The sequence below is a fragment of the Homo sapiens genome, chromosome 4, assembly GCF_000001405.40.
Source record: "Homo sapiens chromosome 4, GRCh38.p14 Primary Assembly".
NCBI lineage: Eukaryota > Metazoa > Chordata > Mammalia > Primates > Hominidae > Homo > Homo sapiens.
The window spans coordinates 73,027,838-73,041,093 of record NC_000004.12 but is presented as its reverse complement, the minus strand read 5'-3'; the positions used below and the strand labels follow the sequence as shown (position 1 = coordinate 73,041,093).

The 13,256-nt window shown below is 39.6% G+C and overlaps 2 annotated features.

Moving 5' to 3' along the window:
• Positions 2,005-2,064: an enhancer, noted in NCBI's record as "active region_21608". NCBI's record gives its function as "activates an Ori minimal core promoter by ATAC-STARR-seq in GM12878 lymphoblastoid cells {active_cell/tissue: GM12878}" and the evidence as "EXISTENCE:reporter gene assay evidence [ECO:0000049][PMID:35858748]".
• Positions 12,128-12,422: a silencer, noted in NCBI's record as "tiled region #13076; HepG2 Repressive non-DNase unmatched - State 24:Quies". NCBI's record gives its function as "represses a minimal TATA promoter and a strong SV40 promoter by Sharpr-MPRA in HepG2 cells {active_cell/tissue: HepG2}" and the evidence as "EXISTENCE:reporter gene assay evidence [ECO:0000049][PMID:27701403]".

The following is a 13,256-nucleotide window of genomic DNA, read 5'->3' as shown; positions in this document are numbered from 1 at the left end:
CAACAGATTGCAATGAAAAATATATCTACAGGCTGGGCGTGATGGCTCACGCCTGTAATCCTAGCACTTTGGGAGGCCGAGGCGGGCAGATCACGAAATCAGGAGATCGAGACCATCCTGGCCAACATGGTGAAACCCCGTCTCTACTAAAAATACAAAAAAAAAAAAAATTACCTGGGCATGGTGGCACGTGCCTGTAGTCCCAGCTACTCGGGAGGCTGAGGCAGGAGAATCGCTTGAACCCAGGAGGCAGAGGTTGCAGTGAGCCGATACCAAACCACTGCACTCCAGCCTGGGTGACAGAGTGAGAGACTCTGTCTCTAAAAAAAAAAAAAAAAAAAAGAAAGTACAATATATAAAATGCCTGAAAAGGAATTCAAAATAATAACATTAAAGAAGTTTGATGAGACAAAGACGTGCTAAAATAGCATGCAGACCATCTAAGAAAGAACACTGGAATTCAGCACAGAAATGATGGAAAACACCTAAAGCAAGGAAGGAGAGAAAGACAAGGCAGCTTGTCCAACTGGGATCAGCTGGCAGCTTAATATACCCTGCTAAAAAAAAAGAAACAACATTGCAATACAAAGCTCTCTGCTTTCTAGGAAGTATTCTAGAAAAACCATTTTATTATAGAAAATTACTCACTTGACCATATTAACTAAGTATTAATGTCATAATATTTGGAGTTTGGAATCCATCAAACTTAAGATACATATGAAATATGGCATGAGACAGTTTGTTAAAAATAGATCAGTTTTTCACATTGAAAATTTTAAATGTGGCTGGGTGTGGTGGTTCACGCCTGTAAGCCCAGCGCTTTGGGAGGCCAGGGTGGGCAAATCGCCTGAGGTCGGGAGTTCAAAACCAGCCTGACCAACCTGGAGAAACCCTGTCTCTACTAAAAATACAAAATTAGCTGGGCATAGTGTCACATGCCTGTAATCCCAGCTACTCAGGAGGCTGAGGCGGGAGAATCGCTTGAACTCGGGAGGCAGAGGTTGCTGTGAGCCGAGACCGTGCCATTGCACTCCAGCCTGGATAAAAAAAGTGAAACTCCGTCTCAAAAAAAAAAAAAAAAGAAAAATGTAAAATGCTCTACCTGCTGAGCCAGTGCTTAGTGGTGCTAGTGGTGTGTTGGTGATGATGGTAGTGGTTACATTGGTGGTGGTGGCTTTTTTAAATTTAATTTTTTTAATTTAAATTTTAATTTGTTTTTAATTTTACATTTTAAGTGGGTATTTTTCCAGAGGATTCATCCTGTTCTTATGGGAGATATTACCACAAAACGATGCTTCCTTCTCATGGAATCAGATGAATTAGTAGATTATGAACAGTATCTCTTGTTCTTCAACAATATATTGCAAGAATCTCTATGTTCCTTCTAAGAGTACATAATGCTAAAGGAAAGAGAATATGTAATGCTTCTAAAATCATTCTGAAATAGCCTTCTTTTTGTCTGTAAAATATGCTTGCTTGTCTTTTATATATAATATATAAATATGACATATAAAAAGATATGTAAATAATATATATACATCTTATATATTTTGCATATTAAAATATTTATTATATTAAAAATAACATAAGAGATTGTGAAGGACTAAGAATCTTCCACTGGGTTTCTGCAACTATTCCTCTCTACTCCCTTGTATACATGACCTCAGATCCCAGCTATTTTCCATTCCTGTTGAAAAAAATCGAAATTTCCCAAATCCTGGCTGCTAATCTGCACAAATTATTGGTAGGAGAAAATCCTTGACTAATTCTCCGAACTACGTAAACTTCAATTGACGCTGTTAAGCCACTATACAAATTTTGTTCTTCTTCCCCAGGTTAGCATTGTTGAATAAAATTTGCATAAAATTTATGCTAACAGAGCTCTGGGTAGTTATTGCCTACAGTGGAGAGAGAGAGAAAAAAAAAGACAAACACGTTCTCTTCAGTATACTGAAGGAGGAAAGAAAGTTTTGATTGACTAAATATCACCCTGAGTCTACAATTTCTTCCCCAAAGAAAGCAAGACAGAATACTTCCCTCCAGTGGATCATTGTTGTAGATGCAGGCAGAGACATGGCTAATGGTAGCTGATTTGTAATCTGACCTCTCTGACGGGTGTGGTGGCTCATGCCTGTAATCCCAGCACTTTGGGAGGCCAAGGCAGGCGGATCACCTGAGGTCGGGAGTTCAAGACCAGCCTGACCAACATGGAGAAACCCCGTCTCTACTAAAAATACAAAATTAGCTGGGTATGGTGGCATATGCCTGTAATCCTAGCTACTCAGGAGGCTGATGCCATTTTAGACCTATTTGAAGACACCTGCCTCAGACTCAGGGAAGTGAGCATGTAATATCTGAATATACTTGGGGGTAAAATGGAAGAAAAACCCTGTAGACCAGCCAATAGCAGTTTTATTTCAATAAAAATATTAAAACAAACAAAGAAAAGAAAATATCTAGCTTAGAAAAAAAAATTAGTCAACCCTACTTTAGGTGGAAGAAAAACACCAAGTCTAAAAGAAGCTGTGTCTCCGGGACCCCAGCTACCCCAGCAGTTGATATGGAGAGAATATCTGAAAATATAAATTCTTTGGACATAGTGGTGTATCCAGGCAATCTCATTATATTTGGTAAGTCTTTGGAAGAACAAGAGAAGAGACTTTAAAGCAGTGGGCACCTCAAAGAGGTAAATCTTAAACTTTCTCTTGACAATCCCCAATTGTACTGTAACCCTGTGAGGTATATGGGGCACAAGTATCTCAGCAAATACAGACCCTTGGAAGAATTCTGCTCAAACACTGCCTCTGTCCCATTCACTTAGAGAACTAGAGATGTTATGGGAGTTACATATTTTTTTGTTTGTTTGCTTGTTTGTTTGTTGTTTTTAAGGATTTGAATTTGGAGGATGAAGGCTCTCAAAGTGAATCATAAGATCCAATGACAGCTCCCCAGAGGGCAGAGAGAAGTCTATCCAGGACGTCAGTTAATTCATAAGGTACTGGGTGAGCCTGGAGAGGGAACATCCCATGAGGTTGGCTGCAGCACAGTGTGTGGTAACAATGCACTTGCCTTAGACACCACATGGTCCTCACTGCTAAGGTATTTCTTGTACTTTGTAATACTAAAAGAAGATCAGGTTTTCCCCAAACTTGTATAGCTACTCTAATTCTCCTTTTACTTTTCCTAACCTTGAGAAGCCTCTGGCTCCAGGAAGAGAGAGAGTATGTGTGTATCTGTATGTCTGTCTGTTTTGGTTTGGGGAATGGAATGGGCAGAGAAGCATGCCACATCCCTCATTAGTGGGCACCTCTCTACCCACCATAGAAAGGAAGTGAAGTATCAGTGGGCATGGGGAGACAAAGAGAAACACTTATAAATGGAACAGATTAGGTTTAAAAAGTTCCCATGGAAGGTGAGAGATAACTATCAACTCTGTAGGACTGCCAAGCAGACGTGAGAGTCTAGGCTGGAAGTCAGAACTGTATACCCGCCTAAGTGGTGTAATTTTCTCTAGCAGCCCTCAAGGGCACAAGTATAGGCATGAAGAAGGCAATTAGACAGATCTGGATTTAGAATTTTTCCAGTGGATGCAATTGAAGGGCAAGGGATCAATGGAGTGTTGCAGCTTTCCTACTTCCACTGTCCAGCGAGCGGGAGGGAGTGGTGCCCAGTGGCTTCTTCACTTCTGTATTTCGGCAAGTTGGAGGAAGTGTTACAGCCCTTTTAGTCCTGCCACCAGCAGCTCAGTGAGCTGGAGCACTACAGTTCCTGTGCTCCTGCAGTTTGGTGAGTTCTGGGTTCTTGTCCCATGACCAAGAAGAATAAGGCACATGGACACTGGAGAGTGTGTAAAGCAGAGTAGGATTTATCAAGCAACAGAAAAAGCTCACAGCAGAGAGGGGATCCAAAAGATGGTTGCTGGCTGCAGGGCTATGGTCAGGGTCTTTATGGACTGAGAAGGAAGGAGGAGTGTGCTGACTGGTCTGGGGGCTGTTTTGGAAAAAGCACCACTCAGAAAGAGAAACGATAGTGTAAAAAAACGTATTGAAGGCAGAAGTGAAGGCTCGGCCCACAACTGATTGGGGGCTGGAGTGACGTTTCACTCTATGCAAATGAACATTCGGCCCACAGCCAATCACAGAAAGATAGGTATATGTTGAAAGGTAAGGACCAATTGGAAAGAAGCATGCCAGATGGGAGTGGGAGTCCTCACTCTGGTCCGTGGATTCTATCCAGAACTGGCATCTCAGTTTTCAAGCCTTAGACTATCCTTGGCTTAAAGTTCTGACTTCCAGCCTAGTTCTGACATCCCTGCCTGCCTAGGAATTCACCTGCCTTCCACAGCTTTTAAGAGGAAAATATTGACAGTAAAAATTAAGTTTGTTTTGGATCAGGGAATGTAAGCTATGTAGAAAGAAAATAAAAAGGGAGAAAATAGAGAAAGCAGAGGCTGAAGGCTGTGGTGAGATCAAAGAGCAGATGTATCAGGAGAAACCAGGTGGGACATTTTGAAGAGTAAATGGCTTTGATAAGAGTGGGGTGTTTGAATTTATACTGTTAAAGGTGATTAGGGTAAAACATACTGTTCTCTCCACTCTTTGAAAATTTTTATAATTAAAAAATGATATATCAGGTGGAGCACTTTCTGATATTGAACTGAAACCTACCACATCCTTCATTAGTGGGGACCTCTCTACTCACCACAGAAAGGAAGTGAAGTATCAATGAGCATGGGAAGACAAAGAGAAACACTTATAAATGGAATAGATTAGGTTTAAAAAGTTCCTGTGGAAAGTGAGAGATAACTATCAACTCTCACTTTGGGTCTTGGTAAGAGCTATGAAAATGGGTGACTGAAGAGTGAAGCTGAAGGTCACTGGAGTTCTGTCTTTGAGAGTCTTAGAACAAGAAAAGAGCAGATACCCACTTAAGCTAATTTAACTGAAAACGGGGTAGAGTGGGCTGAACTGTGTCCCCAGAAGAGATATATTGATGTCCTAACCACCAATACCTGTGTGACGGTGACCCTATTTGGAAATAGGATCTTTGCAGATGTAATCAAGTTCAGATGAGGTCAGCCTGGATTAGGGTGGGCCATAAATTTACAACTCGTGTCTTTAAAAGAGAAAGAAGAGAATAGTGCTAATAGAGAGACACAGAGGACACACAGGGAAGAAGGTCATGTGAAGAACAGAGTTAGAAATTGAAATGATATAGCTACAAGCCAAAGAAATGCCAAGAATTACCTACAACCACCAGAAGCTAGAAGGCAGACACAGAACAGATGCTCCCTCAGAGACTCTAGAAAGAAAAAACCCTGGCCAGGCATGGTGGCTCACACTTGTAGTCCTAGAACTTTGGGACACTTTAAGGGGCCAAGGAGGGAGGATCACTTCAGGCCTGGAGTTTGAGACCAGTATAGTAAATACATAAGCCAGTAACATAGTCTTTTTTTTTTTTTTTTTTGAGACAGGGTCTTGCTGTGTTGTCCGGGCTAGAGTGTAGTGGTGTGATCACAGCTTACTGCAACCTCCACCTCCTGGGGCTCAAGTATCCTCCCAGCTCAGCCTTCTGAGTAGCTGGGACTACAGGCATGCACCACCACACCCAGGTATTTTCTTATTTTTTATTCTGTAGCGACAGGGTCTCACTATGTTGCCCTGGCTGGTCTCAAACTCCTGACCTCAAGTGATCCTCCATTCTCAGCTTCAGAAAGTGATGGGATTACAGGTGTGAGCCACCACACCTAGCCAAATATGTTTACATACACACATACTTACCATTGTTTTACCGTTGCCTACAATATTCAGTATAGTAACATGCTGTGCAGGTTTGTAGACTAAGAATGATAGGCTTTATCATATAGCCCAGGTGTGTAGTAGGCTATACCATTATAGGTTTGTGTAAGTACATCCTATGATGTTTGCACAATGAGGACATCAACTAATGCTGCATTTCTCAGAACAGATCCTTGTTGTTATGTAACACAAGACTGTACTTTTATATGACTGGTAGAGCAGTAGGTTTGTTTACACCAGCATGACCACAAACACTTGAGTAATGCCTTGCAGTATGATCTTACAAGGGCTACGATGCCACTAGGTGACAGAAAATTTTCAGCTCCATTAAAAATCCATGGGACCACTATAATACATGCAGTCTGTCATTGACCAAAACATTGTTATGTGGCGCATGACTGTATTACCATGTCATAGATTGAAATACATTTGGTTCTTTTTATTCATGGTAGTTTTGTTTCATAGTCATCAGGAACCCTAAATTAGTGAATGAAGAACCATTGTCCCTAGGGGAAATATGAGCCTTTCATCATAATATTTTTGTCAACCAATTAATAACATATAACATTTACACATATAAACATATATTTATAACATATATGGGCATACCTCGAGGATATTGAGAGTTCAATCCCAGACCACCACAATGAAGCAAATATCATAATAAAGCAAGTTACAAAAATTTTCCTGGTCTCTCAGTGCGTACAAAAGTTATTTTAAAAAGTACATACCTTAATTTAAAAATACTTCATTGCTAAAAAAATTGCTAACAATCATTTGAGCCTTCAGCGAGTCATAATCTTTTTGCTAGTGGAAGGTCTTGCATTAATATTAATGACTGCTGACTGATCAGTGTGGTGGAGGCTGAAATTGGTTTGGCTGTGGCAATTCCTCCAAATAAGACAACAATGAAGTTTGCCACATCAATTGACTCTTCCTTTCATGAAAGATTTTTCTGTGGCATGCTATGCTGTTTGATAGCATTTTACCCACAGTAGAACTTTAAAAATTGGAGTCAGTGGTAATTTGTTACCAAACCTAGAGGAAAGTAATTCAGCCAGTGATGATTACCCCTCCCTGAGCCAACTGCTTTAATCATGGTGGGGATGAGGGGTGCAGTCCATTGGCCAGGTGTAGGTTATATGAACCACTCCCAGAATCAGGACTGGGTAAGTCCAGTGAAACCAAATGATGTGTTGGGATGGAATGAATCTTCAAAGATACATGACTTCTCCATCCCACTCCTTAGCTGCTGAGAAGCCTTCCATATACATGAAATGTAAAACATAATGTGAGTATTCCTGAACTGGAGATAGCCCAAATTATCCTTTAGGACTTGCATTTACTCTGTCGCCCAGGCTGGAGTGCAATGGTGTGAATACAGCTCTCAGCAACCTTGACCTCTTGGGCTCAAGCAATCCTCTTACCTCAGAGCCTTTTAAGTCGCTAGAACCACAGGTGGGCACCACTGCACCTAATTAATTTTTTGTTTGTTTGTTTGTTTGTTTGTTTGTTTGTTTGTTTTTTGTGGAGACAGGATCTTACTATATTGCCCAGGCTGATCTTAAACTCCTGGGCTCAAGCAATCCTTCTGCCTTGGCCTCCCAAAGTGCTGGGATTATAAACGTGAGCCACCACCCATGGCCAGGACTTACATTCACTTTTGATCCAGGGTCTTTTTGGCTTTTTTGACAAAAACTATGATTTTTTTTAGCTCCAAGATTATATATATATGTGAAATTTTCAGATTATATCATGTTCAGTTGTGTATGCACAAAGACTAAAATCAGGAGGAAAGGTTGAGAAAGCAAAGCAGATTTGATTGTAGAGTTGGATTTTGGGGAGAGGGTTTTCTTATATAGTTTAATAATTTTGAAGTATGTTTGATTTTCATTAGTACTGTTATAATGGTACTTGTTAAAAAATGGTTATTAAAAACTACGAAAAATTCTCTTTTCTGTCCTTTTTTTTCTTTTTTCTTTATTTCTTTTTTTCAGTTTTCCTGTGGTGTAATTTACTACGTCCAGAATCTTTGAGTGATTTGTATTCTTTTGAGTCAGGTTCACAAAATTCTACATGGTAAGAAATCTACATAAGAATCCAATAATATACAGTAAAAGGGAAAAAATTACAATAAAAGTTCACATTCAGAATAGGGAAGAAAGGGAAAGCACATCATGGTTACAAGTTCCTAGTTCACACACAATCCTGGGACTCCCTGACCTGGTAGTAAACGAGGTTTCAGTCTGTTGTGCTCATGGCCGCATGTGAGAAAGACACCAGGAAGGGTTCCCCTTCTGGGTTGCACCAACCTCTTGTTGGTGCTGGTTCTCCTGCCTGGGTTGTACCTCAGGAGTTAGGCTGTCCTGAACCTTGGTGATCCAAGCTTGGTGTTCTTTTGCCAATGTATTTACCTAGAAACTTTAGCATCTGCTCCTTCAGTCATTTTTTTACAATTCTATGCTCTGGCAAGCAAAGACAGAGAGTTTGCGGAGGTATGGTCTGTGGGTCCTAACTCCATTTCTGTCTCTTCAGCAACAGACCTTAATACGGGTCTATTCCTCATAAATAATGGGCTCAGGTTGTTCTTCAGATAGAATCTGCTCCTCATTGCTGGGCTACATCTCAGTGGGTGGATCTTCAGAATGGAGGTAATTATGATCATTACTGGTGTAGGAAAAGCAAAATTTCACCTCTACTCCTTCAGGGTCTCTGGCTGGGCCTGAGAATTAAATTGATGTAAGACAGACTAGCAGCAGGAAAACATACAGATTTTTACATGTATGTGGGAACCCCCAAAGGAAAATGAAGGCCTGAAGAAGTGGCACAAGCTAAGTCTTTATATACTAGGTTGAACAAAGAGAAGCAATTGTGGAAATGTAAATGAAATAAAAGCCCATCTCAAAGATATGGTTTTAGTTCTGTACCAGTGCAATAAACCAAATGTCACAGTAAAGTCACATGAATTTTTTGATTTCCCAGTTTATATAACAGTTATATTTATGCTATATTGGAGTCTATTAAATGTGCAATTGCATTATGTCTTAAAAAACTATGTACAGGCCTGACATGATGGCTCACGCCTATAATCCCAGCACTTTGGGAGGCCAAGGTGGGCGGATCACTTGAGGTCAGGAGTTCGAGACCAGCCTGGCCAACATAGTAAAACCTCGTTCCTACTAAAAATACAAAATTTAGTAGGCCATGGTGCCGCACGCCTGTAATCCCAGCTAGTAGGGGGACTGAGGCAGGAGAATCGCTTGAACCCGGGAGGCGGAGGTTGCAGTGAGCCAAGATCAGGCCACTGCACTCCAGCCTGGGTGACAGAGTGAGACTTCATCCCCCCCCCACCAAAAAAAAAACCCAAAAAACCAAGTACATATTAGTTTTTTAGACTCTATATGATTGCACACTTAATAGATTACACCGTAGTGTAAACATAACTTTATATGCACTGGGAAACCAAAAAAATTTGCATGACTCATTTTATTTTGATATTTGCTTCATTGGGGTGGTCCAGAGATGAACCTGCAATGTTTTTGAGGTATGTTTTTACTTACGTATGTTGCATTAATTAAAATGAGCATGTATTACTTCTATAATTTAAAAAAAATTTACATTACCCAACTGCATAAAATAATTTAAACTAGTGTCTTTTAAAATCAAGGACCTAATTACATTTTCAATTTTTTTCTATAATTATTGGTTTACTTAAGGTCATCACTTATTCTTTTTTTTTTTTTTTTTTTTTTGAGACAGAGTCTCGCTATTGTTGCCCAGTCTGGAGTGCAATGGCACAATCTTGGCTCACTGCAACCTCCACCTCCCAGGTTCAAGGAATTCTGCCTCAGCCTCTGAGTAGCTGGAACAACAGGTGCCAACCACCACACCTGGCTAATTTTTGTATTTTTAGTAGAGACAGGGTTTCAGCACATTGGCCAGGTTGGTCTCGAAATCCTGGCCTCAAGTGATCTTCCCACCTTGGCCTCCCAGGTTCTGGGATTACACATGTGAGCCACTGTGCCCAGCCTTATTCTTTAAGCCAATTTTGGTAGTTTATATTTCTTAAAATAATTTTAGACAATTTTTTTATTTTTAAGTGTATTGGTATAAATAGATTATTCTTTTATAATATAAAATATTTTATATTATTTATTCCTATGGATTTATTATGTTTATTCTCTTTTGTTCAATTGTTTAGACTTGGCAAAGCTTATCTGATAATTTACTTATTAAAATAAATAGCTTTAGATTTTCTTTTTAACTTTACTATTATTTCTATTTCATTAAATTATATTTGAAAAATAAATGTGGCTAACTCTTGATAACTTCTGTTGACATAAACTTCTGTTGATAACTTCCTGAGTTGAAACTCTCTTTCATGTATTTTATAATAAATGAATTTGTGTTTAAGAAAACACTATGTACATACTTTAATTTAAAAAATACTTCGTTGCTCAAAATGCTAACAATTATCTGACCCTTTACCTTTAGTGAGTTGTAATCTTTTTGTTGGTAGAGGGTCTTGCATTGATGTTGATGGCTGCTGATTCGTCAGGGTGGCAGCTGCTTAAGGTTAGGGTAGCTGTGGCAATTTCTTCATCGTCTGCAATCATCTACACTTACTTCTACTAAAGTTTGAACATTTCAAAGCCACCCGTGAGGATTAGAATCAACTTCTTTCAAGCTTCTATTAGTGGTCTTTTGATTTCCTCCGTTGAATCACAAATGTTCTTAATGACATTGAGAATGGTGAATCCTTTCCAGAAGGGTTTCAATGTATTTTGCCCAGATCCATCAGAGGAATCACTAACCATGGCAGTAATTTCAACTTTAAGTCATGTTTAAGAAATATATTTTTCAAGGAAAAATTACTCCTTGAAATTATTTCTTGATCCATGGGCTACAAAATGGATACTATGTTAGCAGGCTTGAAAACAACATTAATTTCCTGGTATATCTCCATCAGAGCTCTTGGACGACCAAGTGCATTGTCAATGAGCAGTAAAATTTGAAGGAAATATTTTTTTCTAAGAAGTAGGTCTCAATAGTGGGCTTAAAATATTCAGTAAAGTATGCTGTAAAGAGATATGCTGGCATCCATGCTTTGTTGTTTCATTTACAGAGCACAGGCAGAATGGATTTAGCATCATTCTTAAGGGCTTAGGATTTTCAGAATGGTACATGAACATTGGCTTCAACTGAAAGTCACCAGCTGCATTAGTCCATAATATGAGTCAGCCTGTCCTTTGAAACTTTGAAGCCAGGCATTGACTTCTCCTCTCTAGCTATCAAAATCCTAAATGGCACATTCTTCCACTACAAGACTGTTTTGTCCACATTGAAAATCTTTTTTTCGGTATAGTCACTTTCATCAGTTATCGTAGCTAGATCTTCTGAAGAACTTGCTGTAGTTTCTACACGAGCACTTGCTGCTTCACCTTGCACTATTATGTTATGGAGACAACTTCTTTCCTTAAACCTCATGTATCAACCTCTGCTGGCCTCCGAGTTTTCTTTTGTAATTTGCTTACCTCTCTCAGCCTTCACAGAATTGAAGACGATTGGAGTCTTGCTTTGGTTTAGGCATTAGCTTAAGAGAATGTTGTGTTTGGTTTAATCTTCTATCTAAATCATGAAAACTTTATCCTTTTCAGCAATAAGGCTGTTTTGCTTTTGTATCCCTTGTGTCTTTAGTGAAGTAGCACTTTTCATGTCCTTCAATAACTTTTCGTTTGCATTCACAATTTGGCTAACTGTTTGGCACAAAAGGCCTAGCTTCTGGCCTACCTTGGCTTTTGACTTGCCTTACTCACTGAATGTAATCATTTCTAGTTTTTGATTTAAAGTGAGAGATGTGCAACTCTTTCTTTCATTTGAGCACTCACGAGTTCACTGTAGGGCTATTAATTGGCCTAATTTCAATATTGTTGTGTCTCAGAGAATAGGAAGGCCCAAGGAGGACAGAGATGGGGAACGGCTGGTCAGTGGAGGAGTTAGAATGCATACATTTATCTATTAAATTTACTGCCTTATATGGGCATGGTTCATGGTGCCCCTAAACAATTACAATAATAATATCAAGGACCACTGATCACTGTAACAGATATAATTATGAAAACATTTGAAATATTGTGAGAATTACCAAAATGTGACACAGAGACACCAAATGAGCACATGCCATCAGAAAATAGCACTAATACATTTGCTCAAAGGAGCATTGCCAAAAACCTTCAAGTTGTAAAAAATACAATATAGCAAAGTGCAATAAAGCAAAGCACTATAAAATGAGGGTTGCCTGTATATGGGGAAACGAAAGAAAGATAAGAGTTATTTTATGAAGGTCCTTTTGTACAAAATTCTCTCTGCCTCGACTCCCTGTGCCTGGTGATAAGGATATTTCTTTTCTTCTGGTATAAGGAGGGCATCTTTCACGTGGGCGTTTTGTCTCATGCTTTTGAAAAGAAAAGAGGAAGTCAGAATCCATCTTCCTGCACCTCTGGCTTCCAAACGCCTTTAATGCAAAGTAATTCTTATGCTGAAGTGGTATATATTGGGGTGGCATATTCTGCCATCCCCCATTAGACAGAAAGAACACTTCAGGAGGTACTTGGAGAAAGAGTTTGTTTTTTCCTCTCTCCTTTTTTTTTCTTTTATTTTTCCTTTTTTTTTTTCTTTTCCTCACAATAAACAAAAGTTTTCTGTTAGGTCTTATAGGTGAGAGTGAGCCATGCTTCTCATATAGTGACAGGAAAATAATAGAGACTGTCCAACTTAACCTGCAAGCTTTTCCTTGGATTTTACTTATCTTTAATTCCCCTAGTCTGGGGAAAACAGCCTGGCTGCATCAACACTCATGGCTTGAGGTAGCAGGGATCTGACAGGTATAAATTTGAACTCTATTCTAAATCAGTCCCAGCTTCCTTGGGTCTTTTCCAGTACTCAGATGGGATTTCCTAACAGTTTGCCATTGCATGCCCTCTTACCCACACATCAGAAGTAGAAAAATGTGTCTCCCTGAAGAAAAGAGCCCTCAACTCTCTCAGGAGTTCCTGCCGCAGAACACGGGGCACTGGTGCAGCTGCAAAAACTGCAACTAGATAACTAGTTGTGGTTCAGGCATCATGACTTAAAGTTAACTCAGGGAAATAGTCCTGGCTGCTCTATCCTTGTAGCTAGCAATTTTTTTTTTATTATACTTTAAGTTCCAGGGTACATGTGCACAACGTGCAGGTTTGTTACATATGTATACATGTTCCATATTGGTGTGCTGCACCCATTAACTCGTCATTTACATTAGGTATATCTCCCAATGCTATCTCTCCTCCCCTCCCCCCACCCTATGACAGGCCCCGGTGTGTGATGTCCCCCTTCCTGTGTCCAAGTGTTCTCATTGTTCAGTTCCCACCTATGAGTGAGAACATGCAGTGTTTGGTTTTTTGTGCCACATTTTCTTAA